We start from the raw sequence: 23,438 nt of genomic DNA, 5'->3' as shown, positions 1-23,438 counted from the left end.
AAGACCCAAGAATGTCCAGCAGTGAATGGAGCACAGATTTTCCATTGAGTAACACTACCCAGCTTCAGGAAGAGCTGAAGAAAAAGCCCGTATTTGCTCTCAAATTCCCCAGGGTAGGCCAGTATGTGGAAGTTAGAAGTTTCTTAATTGAGAAACTGTAAAATTGTAATTTTACAGTGTTATGTGTTCATATTGCATTGTGCCTTTTTCAGATAAATTTTGATTGACCTAGAAGGTTCTATCCAGAAATGTTTATTGCATATATATACACGTGCACACTCACATACACAGAAACACACATACACATATATATATTTAAATACAAATATATATATTTTAATATTTCAGATATTAAATTACAAACTCAACAATTTAATTTGTAAATTTGTGGTAGGCAGAATTCTAAGATGACCCATGATGATCCTCACCCTTATATAATCCCCTCCCAATGACTGTCGATGGGACCTGTGAGTATGATTAATTAGCCCTCCCATTATTATTTCACTTTATATGGCAAAGGGATTTTTCCGATATAATCAAGTTTCCCAGTCAGTTGAGTTAACTGAAAGGAAGATTATCCAGACAAGCCTGACCTAATCACATGAGCCCTTTAAATCTGGGTCTCGGGTCAGAAACAGAGAAGATCAGAGATTCAAAGCAGCAGAGATATTCTCTCGCTGGCTTTGAAGGAGTAACTGTCATGTTGTGGGGACAGCCACATGGCAAGGAATGGCAGCAGCCTCTAGAAACTAAGAATAACCCCTGACTGGAGGTAAGAATTCTGCCAAGAACCTAAATAAAATCGGAAGGGGAACCTGATCCTCAAACAAAATAGTAGCCCTAGCCAGCAGCTGATTTCAGCCATGCAGGTCCTGAGCAGAGATGCTAGTGAAACCATTGCAGACTTAATTTGCAGAAAATGTGAGATAGTAATTTTGTATTGTTTTAAGCCACTAAGATTTTAATAATATGTTACACAGCAATAGAAAATTAATGCAAAGCCTAAGACAAAGAACTGCAGATGTTCTATCTTGAACTTCATGTTTAAAGACATGAATAGGTTCAAATGTGCCACAACTGAGCATTTTTGTGCACATTGTACATTTTGAATTAGAACATAATGAATCTCTTATGCAGTTAATAAGCCAGGGCCTCAAAAATATGCATGAATGTGAAACAAGCTTAGCTGCTTCCCTGAAAAAAGCTAACATTTGAGTGGGTAAGAGAGACATGTTCAGGAATTAAACAATACAGGGAGTGAACAATGAAGGTAGGGCCCAAAAAGAGCTAAATATGTGCTAAGGATGCAGAGTTCCATTTTCCCAGCTCTTATTTGAAATATTGGCTTTACAGTATAGAAGAGAGGCTTTAAAATTCAATTCCACAGACATCAGGACTATTAGAAGCTCCTCTTCTGGGCTTTACTTTGATTACAGCAGAAATCAGTTATACCACATTTCAATTTAGAAAAAGTTTACAGTAGGGTTCCAAGTTTTGGGATTTTATCCAGTAAATTTATTATTGGTTTGAAATGTCAAAAGTAATTGATTGTTTCCCTCACCTTTCAGGGTCATATTGAAAGCTCAAATGCAACAGAATCTGATGCAACAGAAAAAAATATATATATATATATAATATATATATAATATTTAAAAAGCACTGCCATAGAAAAATAACTAAATGTTATAAGGAGTCATATGCAGAGGATGCTGCTCTAATGTCTGAAACTCCTTTTTCAACTCTCCTTATTTGCAGTGGACTTTAATTATGATGCCCATGAATGACAGGCATTCTTTTTTTTTTTTTTTTTTTTTTTTTTTGAGACGGAGTCTCGCTCTGGAATGACAGGCATTCTTGAAAGAAGGGTAGAAAATGGCAATAAAATCCAATCCTGCACTAATGGGAGCAATGCATATTTAACCTTCTCCCCAACACCATTAATTTCCAAATCCCGAAGTTGCAGTAACTTATGGTAATTACTCTATAGTTTAGTGCTGCTTTTGTCAGAGTAGTCCTTCCGACTTCCTTTACCAGGGTGAAAATAGAGAGATGCCAACAATCCTGCTTGAGAGTGTGCATTTAACAAGAATGAATTAAATTTTCATGCTTAGAAAGGAAACTAACAGCCATTCATTTGGAAATTCTCATTTCTAAGTAAGGTATGATTTGGAAGATGCAAATCTTTTTTTTAACCTGTTTGTGAAGACAAGGTCAAGAAGCCAGCTCATTAATTAATTATTTCATGGTTCCATCAATTTATACATAGAACATCTGCTGAGGGCCAACTATGCTGCTTGAGAACATAAATATGGCTAATAGATGTTTCCTGTCATAAAGGTTTCTCAATTAAGAGGAAGATAATTATATGCCCAAATTACTTAGACCCAAAGTGACAGGTGCTATAAGAGACTTGTGGCCATAGGAGAGGTATACCTAATTCAGGCTGGGAATAGAAAGGAGGGCTATTTTGTGTAGAAAGTGCTAAATAGGAGGTTTCCTAGTAACCTAGAAAACCCAGGTACAATTGTTAATATTGGAAGGAGATTATCAAATTATTCTACAAAGATTTCAAATATTTTAGCGTTTATGTATTAAAAATTAATGTGCTAAATTGTGCATCTTTCTAGTCTAGTCCTAAAGCAGGACTTACTGACTAGTCATCTTTTTAGTCAAATAGTTTATATAACTTGAAGCAAAAAAGTTATTTAAAATCATTCTCTAGTCTCCTTTTGTAACCTTGCTAGTGGAGACATTTTTCAAATTATTATTCAATATCTCTTACCATAAAATGTATGAAGGAACTCTTTTATTTTAATGCTACCAATGAGTTTATCAACAGATTAAGAGAGGAACTTCTCACTATCAGACACGGAGAAATATGTTACCCTTTTGCGTTGGTTACCCGGAAGCTTAAAGATACACTTTTATTAAAACTCAACTTGTTCTCATTACACGTAGAAAAATAACCTCATCACAACATAATTCTTTTTAATGGCACCAGACAATATCTGTGTTGTGTTAATTGCTTCAAATCTTCTGATGTAGGCAGAGCCTAATAACAAAAAAGTTGTATGTATATTCTCTTTAAATACATATCATATTTTATATATGTTTATATATGAATATATTATATAAATACAGTCAGCTCTCCACGTCCTCATGTTTGGAATCTGTGGATTCAACCGACCACATATCAAGAATATTTTTAAAATAATAATGTAACCATAAAAAACAATATAAACTTAAAAATATGGCATAACAACTATTTACACAGCATTTACATTGTATTAGGTATTATAAGAAATCTACAGATGACTGTATATTGTATATGCAAATATACCCTATATGCAAATGTTACATCATTTTACATAAGTGATTGCGCATCCTGAAATTTTGGTATTTACAGGGATCCTGGAACCAGTCCCTCATACATACTGTGGAACAATTGCATGTCTATGGGTGTGTGTATATATGTGTATAATTATATATAAAGTTACATGTGAAATTATGTATATAAATCTTATATAAATATATGTATATGTGTGTGTATATATATATTCTCTAAGACAGATAATTCAAATTAATAAAACTTGGCTTAAACACTTTAAAAGGTTTTAAGCCTCATCCCAAGACTGTTTTTGAAAAAATCTAGACGTTTTTATCAAATAAGTTTTTACTTAAATCCTCAAAAACATTCTTGTACCCATGTTTCTACTAATCTGCATAGCAAAGCCAAAGGATCCAAGATTTTCCACTTAGTGGATAAACGGATGGATGGATGGATGGATGGGATGATTGACTAATTGTTTTATTCATTTAGTAATTAATACAACAAATATTGACTATTTATTTTTACATTTAGAAAAATTAAAAATAATAGAGCCTCTGCCTTGCCTTTAAAGAGCTCCCTATATAGTGGAACAGGTAGATGTAGAAAGAGATAAAATGTAATTAACTATTTCAAATGCAAAATGGACAATATATAATGTGAGCACAGTAGGGGAAATATTAATAGTTACCAATTAATTCACTACTAGATGCCATAATAATAGTTATGATTTGATGCTTTACTTGAATTAATCTCATATAATCTATACAACAATCTCTGAAATTAGCTAAAGAAATTAAATTTATCTTTCTTTTCATTCTTAATATTGTTGATTTATAAATTTATTTTTGTCCATTTTAGTTATTTCATTTAGCATTTTTCTAAAGAACTAATTATAATGTTTGATTGTATTGTCTTCTGCTGTGCTTTTGCCTGTTTTTTAAATTCAACTTTCTGTTCATTATCTTTTTCTTCTATTTATTTAAACTTAATGTGCTGTTCTTGTACCTTTTTAGTTTAAAAGATTAGCGACTTGTTTACTTTTATTTATTTATTTATTTATTTATTTTGAGACGGAGTCTCGCTCTGTCGCCCAGGCTGGAGTGCAGTAGTGCGATCTCGGCTCACTGCAAGCTCCGCCTCCCGGGTTCGTGCCATTCTCCTGCCTCAGCCTCCCGAGTAGCTGGGACTACAGGCGCCGGCCACCACGCCCGGCTAATTTTTTTGTATTTTTACTAGAGACGGGGTTTCCCCGTGTTAGCTAGGATAGTCTTGATCTCCTGACCTCGTGATCCACCCACCTCAGCCTCCCAAAGTGCTGGGATTACAGGAGTGAGCCACCGCACCCGGCGCAACTTGTTTTGTAATATGTGAATTTAAGATTATATGCTTTTCTTATAAATATTGCTTTGGTTGCATTCCAAAATTTTTGTACAGAATGTATTTACTGTTTCAATGATCTAAATTTTTTATAATTTTCATTATATTTTGGGGACTATGAATTACTTAGTGTATGTGACATTTTTCTTTACATTTCTAAATATGTTTTTTTGAATTGATTTTCACTTGAATAGCATTTTTTTGGTCACAGCACTTAGTTAATAATAATATTGATTTTTTAGTTTGTCTTGAGACTTCCTTTTAGGAAGTCTCTAGGCTCTAATACATGATACATGTGTCACTACTAGACTCTAATACGTGATAAATTTTGAAAATGTTCCATGTGAACTTAAAACGTGTTTGTATAGATGATAATGTTCATGAGAAATATCTTTGTTCTATTCACAACTATAAAGTGCCTCAGATACACAAGGCTTTTAAAATATACATAACTCTAATAAATTCACTAATTGCTACATATATACATTTATTATGATATATTTTAAAAGTGTAAAGTTCATCAATACTTTTTCCTCCTGCCCCAAAAATATAAGCACCCAAAACTTTACTTACATTTTCCTGCTTTCATTTTATAGCTGCCTAGTACTTTAGTTCAACTTTCTATTTTTACTTTATATTTTTATTTATGTGTATATTTAATTTTCACTCTTATATTAAAGCCCAAGGCTCCAATTTTTATTTTATGCCTGTTTGTTTCTCATCACCAAATTGCACACAAATGTAAATCAATATATAACTACAGGGTGAGATTTATTTTGTTTTCACTATATAGTTTGTAGATTTATTTTATGACTATATGTGAATAAATCAAGTTTATATGCTAAATTTATGGACTTTTATTTTTATCCATTTTAAATCAACTTTTATGTTTCTTAAAAGAATCCATGCGGATAGTTTAAAAAGTTAAATAAACATAAGCTTATAAAAAATATAGCTGTTCCTCTCATTCTCCTACTATCACCTTTGGAAATTTACCTCCCATCCATTTCTTCTCTTATATACCTTTAAAATTGTGAGCGCATGCACACACACACACACTCATCTTTTAAATATTTAAATGTATTGATTGACACAGTACTATGAAATAAAAGGTAAAAATCTTTTACCTTTCTTATACTTTTCACTCTTCTTCTTTATCCTTTTCAATATGATTATACCATAATTATTAAATATAGTGTTTAAGTATTATGACTATAAATACTTTTGCTCATAAACCAATTTCCATTTTTTTAATGTCATTGATTATTTTTTGGCATTAATAACTTTTAACTTGCTTATACCTCTTGACAAATACCTTTATATCTTCCAATGATTCTGTAAAACACTTTCAATGCAATATTGCATGGTGCCAAAATTATCAGATAAAATAGTGGCTCAGCTAGGAAAAAAAACACCTCAATTGCTCTATTTCCCTGCTACAAAAGTGACCTTTTCTACCTTTATAGTTAAAGGATATTTTGGCTGGGCATTTGGATTCTAGGTTGAGAAATACTTTTCTATCCAAATGTTTAATATGTACCTATATTATCTTTAATTAGATATATAATTGCATTAAGAATTCAAACATGGCCAGGTGTGGTGGCTCACGCCTGTACTCTCAACACTTTGGGAGGCCAATGGGGGGTAGATAATCTGAGGTCAGGAGTCCGAGACCAGCCTGGCTAACATGGTGAAATGCTGTCTCTACCAAAAAATACAAAAATTAGCTGGGCATGGTGGCATGCACCTGTAATCTCAGCTACTTGGGAGGCTGAGGTGGGAGAATCACTTGAACCCGGGAGACGGAGGTTACAGTGAGCAAAGACGGTGCCACTGCACTGCAGCCTCAGTGACAAAGTGAGACCCTGTCTAAAAATAATAATAATAATAAAAGAATATAGACATCATTCTTTTTTTTGGTGGTGGGGGGAGTCCTGTGAATCTATAAAATATTCTTCCACTAATACAAATTTGTATTTTCTTTTCTTCTCAATCATCTTGGGTGACTCAATGGAGGTGAAGGGGTTATGGAAATATTTTGGTTAACTAAAATGTAAATAAACCCTGAGATAACAATGTAGAAAAAAATATCGTTTTAATTACTAATAAATTAGAAATAGGAGATTGTGGCTTAGGTGTATGAGTGGCAACAATTGGCTTCATAATATTAGACTTAATGATTAAACATATCTACATGCCTAGTCACAGGATGTGCTGGAAAAATGATGCAGCCACACCCATCCCTACTCGACAACTTTTAACATAGAGGAGCAGACGAAGAGACAGGGCTCCTGGTGACAGCTAATTTCCATAGAAAAAGGGAAGAGGAAGAGGTGATGCCATTGATGCCTACATACTACTCCCAATTATACATTCAGAATTTACTCTCCTTCCCTGAAAAGACCAGTAAATGAGGCAGAAGATAAAAACCTGAATGTCACATTAAATTTTGTCCTTAAATATGTGCATCAGGTTCCTAGGGCTGCTGCAACAGATTATCACAAAAATGATGATTTAAAACAAGAGAGATTTATTTTCTCACAGTTCTGGAGGCCAGAAGTCTGAAGTTGATGAGTTGGTAGGGCTACATTCCCTCTGGTATTGTTTGAAGATGTCCTCCAAAGTTCATGTCTTACAAACATGATCCCCAATGTAACAGGATTAAAAAGTGAGACATTTAAGAAGTGATTAGGCCATTAGGGTTCTGCTGTCATGAATAGATTAATACTCTCATCACAAGAATGATATTATCACAAGAAAGGAAAACTTTGTAACCCCTTGCCCCTTCTCCTTGTCTTTTTCTTCCTCTCACTTTATTTCTATTTCTCCCTCTCTAGCCATTCTGCCTTTCACCATAGGATGACACAGCAAGAAGGCTCTTACAGGATGCCAGTCCCCCAGTCTTAGAATTCTCAGCCTCCAGAACCACGAGCCAATAAATTTTTGTTCATTATAAGTTATCCAGTATCAGGTATTCTAGGTCAGGTACAGCGGCTCATGCCTGTAATCCCAGCACTTTGGGAAGCCAAGGCAGATCGATCACTTGAGTTCAGTCAGGTGAAATCCCATCTCTAATAAAAACACAAAAATTAGCTGAGCATGGTAACACATGCCTGTAATCTCAGCTACTCAGGAGGCTGAAGCAGGAGAATCACTTGAACCTGGGAGGCGGAGGTTGCAGTGGGCTGAGATCGCACCATTGCACTCCAGTCTGGGTGACAGAGCAAGACTCCATCTAAAAAAAAAAAAAAAAAAAAAAAAGAAAGAAAGAAAAAAGAAAAGAAAAGAAAAACCCCTTTTCTAGGAAAGCATTCGAGCCTGCTGCAGAAATTTGCGTAAGTAATAAGAAGCCAAATGTTACTTACTAAGACAATGGGGAAAATGTCTCCAGGGCATATGTGAGACCTTTGTGGCAGTTCCTCCCATCACAGGCCCAGAGGCCTAGGAGGAAAAAATGGTTTCTTGGGCCAGGTCCAGGGCGCCTCTGCATGTGCAGACTAGGGACTTGGTGCCCTGCATCCCAGCTGCTCCAGCCATGGCTAAAAGGCACCAAGGTACAGCTCAGGCCAGGGCTTCAGAAGGTGCAAGCCTCAAGTCTTGGCAGCTTCCACATGGTATTGGGCTTGCAGGTGCACAAAAGTCAAGAATTGAGGATTGGGAACCTCCATGTAGATTTCAGAGGATGTACAGTTGTTCAGGAAGAAGGTTGCTACAGGAGTTGGGCCCTCATGGAGAACCTCTGCTAGGGCAGTGTGGAAAGAAAATGTGGTGTTGGAGTCCCCACACAGAGTCCCCATGGGGCACTGCCTAATGGGGCTGTGACAAGAAGGCCACTGTCCTCCAGACCCCAGAGTAACAGATCCACCAACAGCTTGCCCCGTGCACCTGGAAAAGCCACAGACACTTAACATCAACAATGAAGGCAGCTGGGAGAGGAGCTGTACCCTTCAAAGCCACAGAGGCAGAATAGCCCAAGGCCATGGGAGAACCACCTCTTGCAACAGCATGCCCTGGATGTCAGCCATGGAGTCAAAGGAGATAATTGTGGATGTTTAAAGTTTAATAGCTGCCCTATTGGATTTCAAATTTGCATAAAGCCTGTAGCCCCTTCATTTTGGCCAATTTCTCCCAGTTAGAATGGGTGTATTTAGCCAATGCCTGCACATCCATTGTATCTAGGAAGTAACTAACTTGCTTTTGATTTTACAGGCTCAAAGGCAGAAAGGACTTGCCTTGTCTCAGATGGGACTTTGGACTTGGACTTTTGAGTTAATGCTGAAAGAAGATAATACTTTGGGGGACTGTTGGAAGGGCATGATCGTGTTTTGAATTGTGAGGATATGAGATTTGTGAGGGACCAGGGGCAGAATATGATTTGGGTGTATCCCCCTCCAAATCTCATCTTGAACTGTAGTTCCCATAATCCCCATGTGTTGTGGGAGGGACACTGTGGGAGGTAATTGAATCATAGGGGTGGTTACCTCTATGCTGTTCTCATGATAGTGAGTGAGTTCTCACAAGAGCTGATTTTGTAAGGGGTGCTTATGTTTTATAAGCGGTGCTTTCCCCTCTTCGTTCTGCACTTCTCCTTACTGCTGCCATGTGAAGAAGGACACATTTACTTCCCCTTTCAGCACAATTGTAAGTTTCCTAAGGCCTTCCCATCCATTCTGAACTGTGAGTCAATTAAACCATTTCTCTTCATAAATTACCCAGTCTCCAATATGTCTGACCCAAGTGTACTCTTATCTGCCAGCCTCTTACAGAGTTTCTGCCTGGCCACATCTGCTTGCAGCACAGCTTCATATGCCCAACTAGGGTCCATCTCAGCAGACACTACCATAGCTCTTTCATCAGCAGCCCTCATTTAACCATCAAAACCTTTTGCAGAGGGGCCTCTGCCAGTGTCCACCTACCCACAGCCTCATTTTATTACTTAGCTGGCATGCACACATGCTGCAGACCCCACCATGCCACTACCCTACCACCAACCCACCTCTGCCAGCAAGCACACACAGATGAGGATCCAGCTGCCCTGGTGCCACAGGTACATGTGAGTGACTGTGGACCATAATACCACTGGCCCACTGAAGCAAGTTTTCTGGCACTCCCCGTCAAAACATTGTTGCCAGTGGACTAGGAACACCTTGGGTTCTCCAGTGTAGCAGCTGCCTAACCTTGAAGGGCCAGAGGACAAAGCTGTGAGCTTAGTCCCAGCCACCCAGTGATAAAGTACACAGCCCAGAAGTGCTAAGCTGAGCCTTGACCCTTGAAATCATCCAGAAAAAAAGCCAGTCAACTAAACCTAACTTATACCACAGCCAAACACTCAAGAGCATTGAAGAATACAAAGGCAAAAAGTCCTATCCAAAGGACAGCAACTTCAAGGATTAATGGAACAACAACCCACACAGAATGCAAAAGAAACAGCATAAAAACTCTGGCAACTCTAAATGCCCGAGTGTCTTCTTGCCTCCAAATGGCAACACTAGATACTCAACAATGACTCTTAATCAGGCTGAAATGTCTGAAATGACAGACATAGAATTCAAAATCTTGATGCCAATGGAGATCATTGAGATTCAGAGAAAGTTTAAACCCAATCCAAGGAATCTAAGGAATCAACTAAAATGATTCAAGAGCTGAAAGACAAACTAGACATTTTAAGAAAAAAAAAAAAAAAGTAGAGTTGATAGAGCTGAAAAACTCACTGCAAGAAACAACTGGAAGTATTAACAGCAGAATAGACATAGCTGAGGAAAGAATCTCAGAGCTTGAAGACTGGTTTTTCAAATGAACTCAGTCAAAAAAAAAAGATAAAGAATATTTAAAAATATACAAAACCTCACAGAAATACAAAATTATGTCAAGTGACCATACCTATGACTTATTGGCATCCATGAAAGAGAGGGAGAGAGAGAGGGCAACTTGGAAAACATGCTTGAGGATAGTCTCCACCCAACCTCACTAGAGAGGTTGACATTAAAATTCAAGAAATGCAGAGAACTCCTGTGAGACGCTAGAAAAGATGACAATCCCAAATCATAGCCATCAGATTTTCTGACATTAATGTAAAAAATATATATAGTAAAGGCCACTAGAGATAAGGGGCAGGTCATATACAAAGACAACTCCATCGGACTGACAGCACACCTTTCAGCAGCCAAATTGTACAATCCAGAAAAGACTGGGGGCCTCTATTCAGCATTCTTAAATAAAGAAATTCCAACCAAGAATTTTATATGTAGCCAAACTAAGCTTTATATACATAGGAGAAATAAAATCCTTTTCAGACAAGCCAATGCTAAAGGAATTTGTTACCAGACCTGCTTTATGAGAGGACCTTATGGGAGTGCAAAACATGGAAATGAAAGACAGTTACTGGCTACCACAAAAACACACTTAAGTATATAAATTATTGACACTTTAAAGCAACTACACAATCAAGTCTAGATAATAACTGGTGAACAACATAATGACAGGATTAAATTAGTATCTATGTATCTACCTATCTAGACAGGGTCTCAGGGTTGCACAGGCTAGATTGCAGTGGTGCAATTTTGGCTCACTGCAACCTCCACCTCCTGTGCTCAAATGTTTCTCATGCCTCAGCCTCCTGAGTAGCTGGGATCACAGGCATGCGCCACTATGCCTGACTAATTTTTGTGTTTTGGGTAGAAATGGGGTTTTGCCATGTTGGCCAGGCTGGCCTTGAACTCATGGCCTGAAGTGATCCACCTACATTGGCCTCCTAAAGTGCTAGGATTACAGACATGAGCCATCATGCCTAGCCTCACACAAATCAATATTAATCTTGAATGCAAACAGCATAAATGCCATCACATAAAAGGTGCAGGGTGGCAAGTTGGATAAAGACACAAGATCCAGCTTTAGGCTGTCTTTAAGAGATCTATCTCACATGCAGTGATGCACCATGGGCTCAGAGTACAGGGATAAAGAAAGATCTGTGAAGCAAATGGAAAACAAAAAATAGTGGGAATTGCTATTCTTATTTCAGACAAAACAGACCTTAAAGCAACAATAATCAAAAAGAACAAAGAAGGGCATTATATAATGATAAAGGGTTCAATTCAATAAGAAAATATATTTGCATCCATCACTAGAGCACCCAGATTCATAAATCAAGTTCTTAGAGACTTACAAAGAAATTTAGATAATCACACAATAATAGTGGGAGACATCAATACCCTATTGGCTATATTAGACAGATTTTTTTATTTTTATTTTTTTTTTTTTGAGACACAGTCTCTCTCTGTTGCCCAGGAGTGCAGTGGCGCAATCTCAGCTCACTGCAAGCTCCACCTCCTGGGTTCACGCCATTCTCCTGCCTCAGCTTCCCGAGTAGCTGGGACTACAGGTGCCCACCGCCACACCCAGCTAATTTTTTGTATTTTTAGTAGAGATGGGGCTTCACTGTATTAGCCAGGATATTAGACAGATTATTGAGGAAGAAGACTAACAAAGATATTCGAGACCTAAACTTGACACATGGCCAAGTGGACCTAACACACATCTGTAGAGCGCTCCACCCAACAACAACAAAATATACATTCTTCTCATCCACACAGGGTACATACTCCAATATTAACTACATGCTCGACCATAAAGCAATTCTGACCAATATCCCTGATGAACATTGATGCAAAAATCCTCAGCAAAATACTAGTAAATCAAATTGAGCAGCACATCAAAAAGCTAATTCACCTGATTGATATGGTTTGGCTGTGTCTCCACCCAAATCTTATTTTGAATTGTAGCTTCCATAATCCCCACATGTCACGGGAGGGACCAAATGGGAGGTAATTGAATCATGGGGATGGGCTTTTCCAGTTCTGTTCCCATGATAGTAAGTCTCATGAGATCAAATAGTTTTATAAAAGGCAGTTCCCCTGCACACACTCTCTTTCCTGCCACCATGTAGGACATGCCTTTGCTCCTCCTTCACCTTCTGCCATGATTGTGAGACCTCCCCAGCCATGTGGAACTGTGAGTCCATTAAACGCCTTTTTCTTTATAAATTATGCAGTCTCAGGTATGTCTTTATTAGCAATATGAGAACCGACTAATACAATGATCAAGTAAGCTTTATTCCTGGAATGCAAGGTTAGTACAACATACACAGACCAACAAGTGTGATTTATGATATAAGCACAATTAAAAAAAACACATAATTATCTCAATAGATACAGAAAAGTCTTTCAATAAAATTCAATATTCTTTCATGTTAAAAATCTTCAAGAAATGTGGCATACAAGGAACATTCCCAAAATAAGAACCATCTATGAAAAACTCACATCCAACATCAAACTGAAAAAACAAAAGCTGAAAGCATTCCGCTTGAGAACCAGAACAACACAAGGATACCCACTCTCACCACTCCTATTCAACATTGTTCTGGAAGTCCTAGCCAAAGCAATCAAGCAAGAGAAAGAAACAAAAGGCATCCAGATAGAAACAGATCATTAAACTATCTCTCTTTGCAGATGATATGATTCTATACCTAGAAAACACCATAGTCTCTACTCAAAGGCTCCTAGATCTGATAAACTTCAGCAAGGTTTCAGGATGCTAAATCAATGCACAAAAATCAGTATTATTTCTACATACCAATAATGTCCAAGCTAAGAGTCAAATAAAACATGCGATTGCATTCACAATAGCCACACACACACAAACCTAGGAATACAACTAACTAGGGAGGTAAAAGATATTTACAACAAGCATTACAAAACACTAGTAAAAGAAATCAGAGATGACACAAACAAGTGGAAAAAACATTTCATATTCTTGGATAGACTCAATATTATTAAAATGCCCATACTGCCCAAAGCAATTTACAGTTTGAATGCTGTTTGTATCAAACTACCAATGTTGTTTTTCACAATTAAAGAAAACTCTTCTAAAATTAATATGGAATCAAAAAAGAGATGGATAGCCAAAGCAATCCTAAGCAAAAAGAACAAAGCCAGAGGCATCACACTATCTGACATCAAACTAGACTACAAGGCTACAGTAACAAAAACCACATGATACTGATACAAATACAGGCACATAGACCAAAAAACAGATTACAGAACCCAGAAATAAAGCTGCACATGTACAACCACTTGATCTTCAACAAAGTCAACAATAATAAGTAATGGGGGAAGAACTCTTTATTCAATAAAGTGTGTTGGGATAACTGGCTAGCCATATGCAGAAGATTGAAACTGGATGCTTACCTTTCACCATATACAAAAATCAACTTACAATAAATTAAAGACTTAAATGTAAGACCTAAAACTATAAAAACCCTGGAAGAAGACCTAGAAAATATCATTTTGAACATAAGCCCAAGCAAAGATTTCATGATGAAGACTCCAAAAGCAACTGCAACAAAAACAAAAATTGACAAGTGGGACCTAATTAAACTAAGGAGCTTCTCCACAGAAACAGAAACTATCAACAGACTGAACAGATAACCTACAGAATGGGAGAAGATATCTGTGAACTGTGCATTCAACAAGAGTTTAATATCCAAAATCTATAAGGAAATTGAACAACCAACAAGCAGAAAACAAACAACTCCATTAAAAATGCACAAAGGACATGAACAGATGCTTCTCAAAAGAAGACATACACATGGCCAGCAAGCATAGAAAAAAGTGCTCAATGTCACTAATCATTAGAGAAATGCAAATCAAAACCACAATGAGATCTCACAACAGTCAGAATGACTGTTATTAAAAAGTCAAAAAATAACATATGCTGGCAAGATTCTGGAGAAAAGGGAATGTTGATACACTGCTGGTGGGAATGTAAATTAGTTCAGCCACTGTGGAAAGCAGTTTGGAGATTTCTCAAAGAACTTAAAACAGAACTGCCATTTGACCCAGCTATCCCATTACTGAATATATACCCAAAGACACATGTACTCATATATTCACTGAAGCACTATTTACAATACCAAAAACATGGAATCAATCTAGATGCCCATCAATGATGCACTGGATAAAGAAAATGCAGTGGATATACACCATGGAACACTATGCAGCCATTAAAAAAAGAATGAAATCATGTCTTTGCAGCAACATGGAGTTGGAGGGCATTTATTCTAAGGAATTAACACAGGAACAGATAATCAAACACTGCATGTTCTCACTTATAAGTGGGAGCTAAACATTGAGTACACAGAAACAAACAAAAAAACGAGAGACGCTGGGGCCTACTTGAGGGTGGGGCATCAGAGGAGACTGAAGATAAAAAAACTACCTATCAGGTACTATGCTTACCACCTAGGTAACAAAATAATTTGTATACCAAACTCCAATGACACACAATTCACCCACGTAATAAACCTGCAAATGTACCCCCAAACTTAAATTAAAAACTGAAAGGGAAAAAAATACAAGGAGGTGGTAAGTCGTAGTTCCATATGGGCACAGGGCAAAATCAGAGGTTATTCATGCAGATGCAGGACCCACAGATTTATCAATCAATGAAACTTATGCCTAACAAAAGGAGTACAAAGTTTTGATTTCACAAATCTTGTCAACAAAAATGGAATTTGTTACTGGCCTTTCAATTTTGTACAAGGCTAAAATGGAAGTTGTTTAAGTCAGCTTAACACTCGGAGTTCGGCTTTTTAGCAAGAGTCTTGCCGATAACTTAAAATCTCTCTTGTATCCCTTTAAAATTCCATCCCCTGTCTGTGAACCCACTATCCACTTTTTCTGTGTCTGTATGTAAGTGATACTAGAAAAATCTGCTTAACATTGCACCTTATTATCATTATATTTCCATGATCACCAATAGCAAACACACCTTCAACACTCCTGGTGAAACTGGCCAGCCTAGTTTTTTTCCTCATTGAAATAACTTTTTTGAATTATTTCTTCTCAAACCTTTACCTTTCCCAAGTTGCTAACCTCAGCAGATGTCCTTACCGGCTTCATGGAGAAAATAAAAGTCATCAGATAAGACCTCCTTCTGAAAGATGACAGCGTGCTCTCAGTCCTCACAGCCCTCGCTCGCTCTCGGCGCCTCCTCTGCCTGGGCTCCCACTTTGGCGGCACTTGAGGAGCCCTTCAGCCCGCCGCTGCACTCTGGGAACCCCTTTCTGGGCTGGCCAAAGCCGGAGCCGGCTCCCTCAGCTTGCGAGGAGGTGTGGAGGGAAAGGCGCGGGCGGGAACCCGGGCTGCGGGCGGGAACCCGGGCTGCGCGCGGCGCTTGCGGGGCAGCTGGAGTTCCGGGTGGGCGTGGGCTTGGCGGGCCCCGCACTCAGAGCGGCAGGGAGCCCCTGCCGGCCCCGGGCAGTGAGGGGTTTAACGCCTGGGCCAGCAGCTGCTGTGCTCAATTTCTCGCCGGGCCTTGGCTGCCTTCCCGCAGGGCAGGGCTCGGGACCTGCAGCCCGCCATGCCTGAACCTCCCCACACGCCGTGGGCTCTTGTGCTGCCCGAGCCTCCCCGACGAGCACCGCCCCCTGCTCCACGGCGCCCAGTCCCATGGACCACCCAAGGGCTGAGGGGTGTGGTCGCACGGCGCGGGACTGGCAGGCAGCTCCACCTGCAGCCCCCGTGCGGGATCCATTGGGTGAAGCCAGCTGGGCTGCTGAGTCTGGTGGGGCCGTGGGGAACCTTTATGTCCACACTCTGTATGTAGCTCCTCTGGTGGGGACGTGGATAACCTTTGTGTCTAGCTCAGGGATTGTAAAGGCACCAATCAACGCCCTGTCAAAATAGACCACTCGGCTCTACCAATCAACAGGATGTGGGTGGGGCCAGATAAGAGAATAAAAGCAGGCTGCCCGAGCCAGCAGTGGCAACCCGCTCGGTCCTCTTACACACTGTGGTAGCTTTGTTCTTTTGCTCTTTGCAATAAATCTTGCTACTGCTCACTCTTTGGGTCCACACTGCCTTTATGAGCTGTAACACTCACCGGGAAGGTCTGCAGCTTCACTCCGGAAGCCAGCGAGACCAGGAGCCCACCGGAAGGAACAAACAACTCCAGACGCCCCGCCTTGAGAGCTGTAACACTCACCCTGAAGGTCTGCGGCTTCACTCCTGAGCCAGCGAGACCACGAACCCACCAGAAGGAAGAAACTGAACACATCTGAACATCAGAAGGAACAAACTCCGGACACGCCGCCTTTAAGAACGGTAACACTCACCGCGAGGGTCCGAGGCTTCATTCTTGAAGTCAGTGAGACCACGAACCCACCAATTCCGGACACTCTTCTATTTCTTGCTGTCACAAATTTCAACTTAGTTACTTTGAAACCCAGTATTTCCTTAGTATCTCCTGTTAAAATACAGCCTATCTTTTTTCTTTCCATTTTCACCCTTCTTGGGAGCCTGTCTCCTCTTAACATTTTCTGAATATTTGCAGTATCAATTATTCATCATTAGGAAAAAATTACCATTTGAAATGAGTTGAAGTATGTGGGTTGCAGTGTTGACAATTTGGAAATAGCAAGCATAGACAACTTTTGGCTCTCACATGGAATATAGACAGAGACTATGAGGAAAGCATGCTTGCTTCTTAACCACTTCAACAGCACGTAACACACATCACTTTTGTCTATATTTCTTGGCAAAAACTTGATGCATGGGGTTGGAATTTCTTAGAAATAATTTTATATTATAGAAAGATAAAGTAAAAATTGTTGGTGGGGAGCCAGCTGGCCATTTCTCCCATGCTAGATATCTAGTTTCATAAGCCAGAGACTTAGAAAATCACATTTGATACTCCCTTCACCCTAATCTCTCACATCAAATTGTTTGCCATTTCCCTCAGTTTTAGCTCTTACACATACACTCATACACTCCCAATCTTGATTTTGGTCTTAGGTAATGTGCCTTCCCATGAGGGATATTCCAACAGACTCCTAATCTGTCTAGCCATATTCATTCTCATGGCCCCTGTCCATTTACCATTTGCAACCAGAGGGATCTTTAAAAAAATGCAAATCTTAATTGCGTTTCTTCTCATTGATTCTCATTGATGGACTTCTACCATCTAACACTGACTTTCCCAAAACTTTTATTGGCTATTGGGATAAGACCCAGCCTGCATAACATCATCTGTAAGAATTTGCATGGTCTGGACCTTGCCTACTTTTACAGTCTCACCTCTTTCATTCTCTCATTTTCTGTTATAGGTGCACTAAACTTTTTTTCAGTTCCTAGGGTAGGTGATGGTCTGCCCTTCCAGAGAGTATTATGACTGGAAAAGTCTCTACTCCCTTTACCTAGTGAATTATTTCCTCGACAGACCACACTTCCCCAGAGCTGGGGGCGGGGGGGCATTCTCAAAACTTCTGATCAACTAAAACCTTCCAAATTTGTACTTTCATTGTACCACGTAACTTTCCTACATTTGTTAATATCTTAGTTTTATGTTAAACATATCTTCATTCAATTTTTCTGTTAAGGTCTGTCTCCTCACACTAAACCTAAGCTTCATGTGGACAAGAACTGTCATTGTATTTTTCACCTTTGTATCATCAATGCCTAGAAAAATGCCTAAAAATTATTGCTGAAAAGTTATGACTAGTCTTAGGATCAGCAATGACTTCATTTTATGCCACAGTTAAGAGCCATAATTTGGTTTATCATTTCTCCATTGACAGTGTAGTTTGAGTACCTAATGTATATATAAAAAAAATGCCCTACTGGTAGGCAATACAGGTTTTAAGATTCATGGAAAAGATTGTAACCTTGCCTCCATGCCATTCAAATATTTTAATGTTAGAGGGATTTACCTTTTACTCACAATAATTAATTCATTAATTTATTTATCCATCTGAAAATATGTATTTAGCCCTCACTAACTGTAAAACATCTTGCCAAGCACTGAATTAAATTTGTCTATGCTTTCCAGATGGACTATCTCTGGTGCTTTAATTTTGCAAAGAGTTTCTATCATCACCCTTGTTACCCATTTCATAGGGCCTGCCTTAAACCAGTACATTAAATGTTCATTTCATGCTTGCCTCACAGAAGCCCAGATAAACGTTTGGAATTGCAATGGTGTAATTATCTTTGATTAGTGACTGAACTAACTAACACCCCTCCATGCCCATCCTTTATTTTAAACAACAGAAAAATAAGTAGATGTTGATATTAGGCACTAATGTAGAGCATTCATGCATAACTACAATTCTACTCATGAATATGCATAGGTTATACGTTATTTGTTATTCTCAAGAGTGTGGAATGTACCTCAACCAGTGCTACACTCATTTAGGGTTAGAAAATAGACGGGGATAAGGAAAGCAATTCTGGGGAAAATACTGGGTCGGAGCCAAGCACTCTTGCTTTTGCTTCATATGGAAGTGGTCCCTCAGTCTTTCATCACATAAATTGAGGCTGCTGATTTAAGATTCCAACAGAAGAGCTATAGCAATTGTTAGTAGCAGCTTGGAATAATGCTGATGTTAGGATTATAAAACAACGACATTTGGAAGCAACACAGTTCAATGGAAAGGTTCTGGTTTCAGGCAGCCCTGACTTTAAATTCTGCTTCTGTTGCTTTCTAGCTGTGTTAACTTAGATAGATAATTAGCCTCTTTAAGCTTCAACATCTTCAACTACAAAGCAGAAATAACAATGGCATTTCTTAGAATGTTTATCTGAATTAAAAGAATAAATATGTAATTTTAAAATGCTAGTAAGTAGACAGGTTGTGTTTTTGAAATGAAATTTAAATCAATCATGTTGATGACATTTCGTCTTTTTAAATAATCTTGTAAATTATTTAAAAAATATATGTCATTTAAAAACTTCACTTTACTGAAATTATTTTAATTATCTCTGAGTCAACTGGCTAAACTTCTACCTGTTATCTGAATGGTAATACATTCTGGCCTCTTATCTTCTATGAGAACCAAATTATTCTCTCTTGTTTATAGATTACTCTATGTGCATATTAAGCTCACATCACTCTTCCTGAGAAAAGTTGATAACCCAATTACCTAGTGAAGTATAACACCATCCTTTGCTCCATTCGCTGTGTTCCCACCCACACTGACAACAACTGATAGGACCAGTAGAAAACACCTAACTTAGCGTGGACAGAAACAATACAGGACACCCAGTTAAATTTGAATTTCAGGTAAAGAATGTATAATTTTTTTACTAAATATATCCCAAATTTTGCATAGGATACACATATATTTATTCGCTATATCTGTCAAGTCCAACCTAACGCGAAATGGAACAGTCAGATTTTCTTCCCTATGAATATGAAATTAGAACATAAGCAAAGCCCCATGACACAAGTTTACCTTTGTAACAAACCTGCACTTTTACCCCTGAACTTAAAATGTAAAACAAAACAAAGCAAAACTCTAGTTAGTCCACAATGAATGCTGGAATTGGTGGATCACATAGATCAGCCTTTGTTCAATCAGATATAGAGAAAGCTGGTCTGCAAAGAGAAAGAAGAAATAACACAGACGTCAGAGGTGCAGAAATCAGAGACCCCATGGCCACAGAGAGATGGAGAGAGTAATCCGAGTTTATAACCTATTTTCATGATTCCTTTCATTCTGAATACAGACTATACATTTTCTACTATTGCTTTTTATGTAATCCCTCTGTATCCAATGAATTTCCTTTTTTGATTAAGCTACTGTGAATATAATTTTGCATCTTGCAAGAATGTTTCTAATCAGTTTTCACTCACCAACTATGCTTCACTTCACCACATCCAGTGTGGTTCTGAAGACCCAGTATCAGAAAATGTTTATCATCTAGCGTGAAAGATTGCTTACCTGTAGGTTCATGCACTTACCTGTGTAGAGCAAATAGAATGAAAATTATGATTGTTGAGAATTAGTGAAATCCTATATATTCCACATTTAAATATTTTTAAATGTTTTGGAGTTTGAGAGACAAAGCAAAAAAAAAAAGACATTATTTGGGGAGAAGTTGAAATCCCTGGTTTTCTTTGTAAAGCATTTGATCATGGGGGTATGATTTCTTCTGAGTTTTATTATCAGATAAATGTATTTAAATATCAGTGAGAAACTCAGTAGATTTCAGCCAAACTAGCCTTTCAGTTTTTTGTCAAATTGCTTTTGAGTTCAGTTCAGTTCCTAGTTATTTCCTGGTTTGGGTCTTTATAATCGCTGTTCTGCATTTTGTTAGGTCTTTCTAGCACATAATGATCAAATCTGATAACTTTAGCTGTTGCTAGTTTAAGAAACAGTTATTGTCCATGTCCTTCTCTATTTTTTTCCTTTCCAATATTATATTGCATTTTGCTCTAATTGTTTTCCTATTTCAAGAAATTGAGATTAGTACTTATATCAATATGGAGAATATTCATAAGATAAAAAGATCTATTGCTATTCACTGTATTTTTTATTTTGAATAAAAATCAAAACATTTGTTAAGCGCAGATAGATTGAATAGGAATAAAGGATGATGTACGAAAGTAAATTGAAATACCAATGATAACATTACCTTATATTTTATTTATTTATTCACTTTAAACATGTTACTTTGAATCCTTTAATAATTAAAATATATTATTTGCTAGGCGTACACTTTCATGTTAAAAGTTAAAAAGTCACACATAAGAAACTTTCTGTGTTAAAATAGCAGATGGTCTAGTAATGCAGACAAGCAAGTAAATGCATAATTTAGGGTTGGCTAAGAAAGGAATGATCAAAAAGGTAATTCTTCAGCTGCCTGTACAAATGAAAAGAGTAAACAGATAAGGAAGGGAATAAGAAAGGATCTTATAAGCAGAGAAAACAGTGCTTTCAAATTCTTGGAAGTATGAGAGAATATAGAAGAGTTTGGAAACTAAAAATAGATTGATACGTTAAGATGAAAATATTCATTGATTTATTCATTCAACAACATATCTTAGGAGAGAAGGAAGAAGGCCAGAGTGGAAGCAGAAGTCCAGATCAAAAGCATCTTTATATACCATGATAAGAAGTTTGAAATCTCTTCTTTAGGGAAAAAGTTTTCAACAGGAGAGCTATGATCAGAGTTACATTCTAATAAGATCACTCAGGTAGTGGATGAGAGAGTTTTTAAGAAGGAAGAGACTTGTTGTAGGGAATCTATTTCAGTGAAACAGGCAAATGTGATGTCTGCCTAAAATAAAACAATGATGAGGGTTAGCAGTTTGTGTGTGTGCTGAAGGGTAGATTTGAGTATTTAGGAAATAGAATGAACAAGTCTTAGTGATTTATTATTAGCAGCAGAAAAGAGAGAGAATATAGTCTGTCATGACTCCCAAAGTTCTGACTTAGATAACTGGATGGGTGTTGAGACACTTCACTTTCTCTCTCTCTCTCTACTTCTTACTCTCTATCTCTGTCCTTCTTTTTAATGAAAGAGATCATAACTCTGGAGTACTGTATAAGTACATTTTAGATAATGCATAATCAATTTATCATTTAAACAGTATAAAGGACTGGTTATTAACTGTGCTATTATTTTCTTTCTCCTTGTTGTCCCTTTCTCTCTGTTTTTCTTTATTTATTTTCAATTTTACCAACCTCCCTCATTTCTTTACTTTTTTTCTTTTTCTTTTATAGACAACATTATCAGACTCTTCACATCATCATCCACTCTTCCAAAGAATAGCTGATTTGAATAACTGGGGAGAACAAATAATATATGTGCTTGTAAACCCCAAAGGTTATGAGAACCTCATGGAAAACTCTTAGCTGATTCAGTGTGATCTCCTTTCCTCTCTTGTCTCGTGAAAGAAGATAATATATGCTTCAGTGAAGTGCAGAGGAAAGAGGAGAGAAGAGAAATATTCACATTCTGGGTTTAATGAGAATGAATCTTTTGCTTTCCCAGCAACTCTCAGGATGGATCCCACCTCACTAATTTAAAGCCTGAGGCAAGATCATGATAGTAGGAAAAAATATCACTGTGCCTTACTGACATGATATTATCCTTTAAAGGAATATATTCAAAATACTTAAAATCTGCTAATTCTGAAAGAATAGGTCATAGAGACTTGAACTCACTTTTCCCTTTCTTTCTCCCTGTTCAAGGCCTCAAGCTACTGTGGAAAAACCATATCGCATTCAAAAGTGTCTTTCAACTATAAAAAGAATACCCCAGAGAATCTTCTCCAAAAACATTTCTTCCAGCTGTCTGTGGGGCCTTGTGAAATCAAAGGTAACTTTTAGCTCATGAGTCGGCAAACAAAACTTTGAAATTCATATATCCTTTTCCAGTGGGTTGGTTTGGGAAAATTTATGGTTTTCCTGCCCTTGGGATAATCCTAGCCCTGAAAATATTCTGTATCATAGTGGAGAAGATAAAGAAAGAAAAGAATAGTGAAAGGGATCACATGTTGTTAACACCTTTTGTAAGCCATGCCCTCTTGTGCTTTCACTTTTAAATACATCATCTCATGAAATATTTATGCTTACACTGCCATGTAGGTTATACTAGCTCTAGTTTAAAATGGAGTAATCTGAGTGTTTGAGAGTCAAATTTAGTCATCAATGGTTAACTCATCTTGTTAGTGACAGGGCCAAAATTCAAACCTAGCTGTAGATGCTTCTGAACTGTGGTGACTTCCCATGTTTCTGTGCTGAAGAGTTAATACTCTATCTAAAGAAAATATGATCAAGTAAGTGGATCTGTGCAACTCATAGCAAGCCTCAATTGAAGGAACTACTGAAAATATGGGGAAAAACGTGCAAAAAAATACATTTTTCTGTTTAGCTCATGAGACAACATTT

General features: G+C 37.7%; 1 long non-coding RNA gene across 1 annotated transcript in view, besides 2 other annotated features; it reads right to left on the bottom strand.

The window, feature by feature from the left end:
• Positions 1-16,175, bottom strand: part of LOC102723370 (uncharacterized) — a 366,694-nt gene extending 350,519 nt beyond the window's left edge. The window contains exon 1 of the long non-coding RNA XR_007062619.1: positions 15,655-16,175. This is a non-coding gene — a long non-coding RNA (uncharacterized LOC102723370). The remainder of the gene's footprint in view (positions 1-15,654) is intronic.
• Positions 6,874-7,043: an enhancer, noted in NCBI's record as "experimental_20507 CRE fragment used in MPRA reporter constructs". NCBI's record gives its function as "activates a minimal promoter by MPRAs in K562 erythroleukemia cells, with activity observed for both the introgressed and non-introgressed 11:21783969 variant alleles {active_cell/tissue: K562}" and the evidence as "EXISTENCE:reporter gene assay evidence [ECO:0000049][PMID:34662402]".
• Positions 12,538-12,707: an enhancer, noted in NCBI's record as "experimental_20487 CRE fragment used in MPRA reporter constructs". NCBI's record gives its function as "activates a minimal promoter by MPRAs in K562 erythroleukemia cells, with activity observed for both the introgressed and non-introgressed 11:21778305 variant alleles {active_cell/tissue: K562}" and the evidence as "EXISTENCE:reporter gene assay evidence [ECO:0000049][PMID:34662402]".
• Positions 16,176-23,438: the final 7,263 nt, after the last annotated feature.

The sequence above is a fragment of the Homo sapiens genome, chromosome 11 (genome assembly GCF_000001405.40).
Source record: "Homo sapiens chromosome 11, GRCh38.p14 Primary Assembly".
In the NCBI taxonomy this organism is placed as follows: domain Eukaryota; kingdom Metazoa; phylum Chordata; class Mammalia; order Primates; family Hominidae; genus Homo; species Homo sapiens.
The sequence above is the reverse complement of the archived record's forward strand: the minus strand, read 5'-3'. Positions and strand labels throughout refer to the sequence as shown.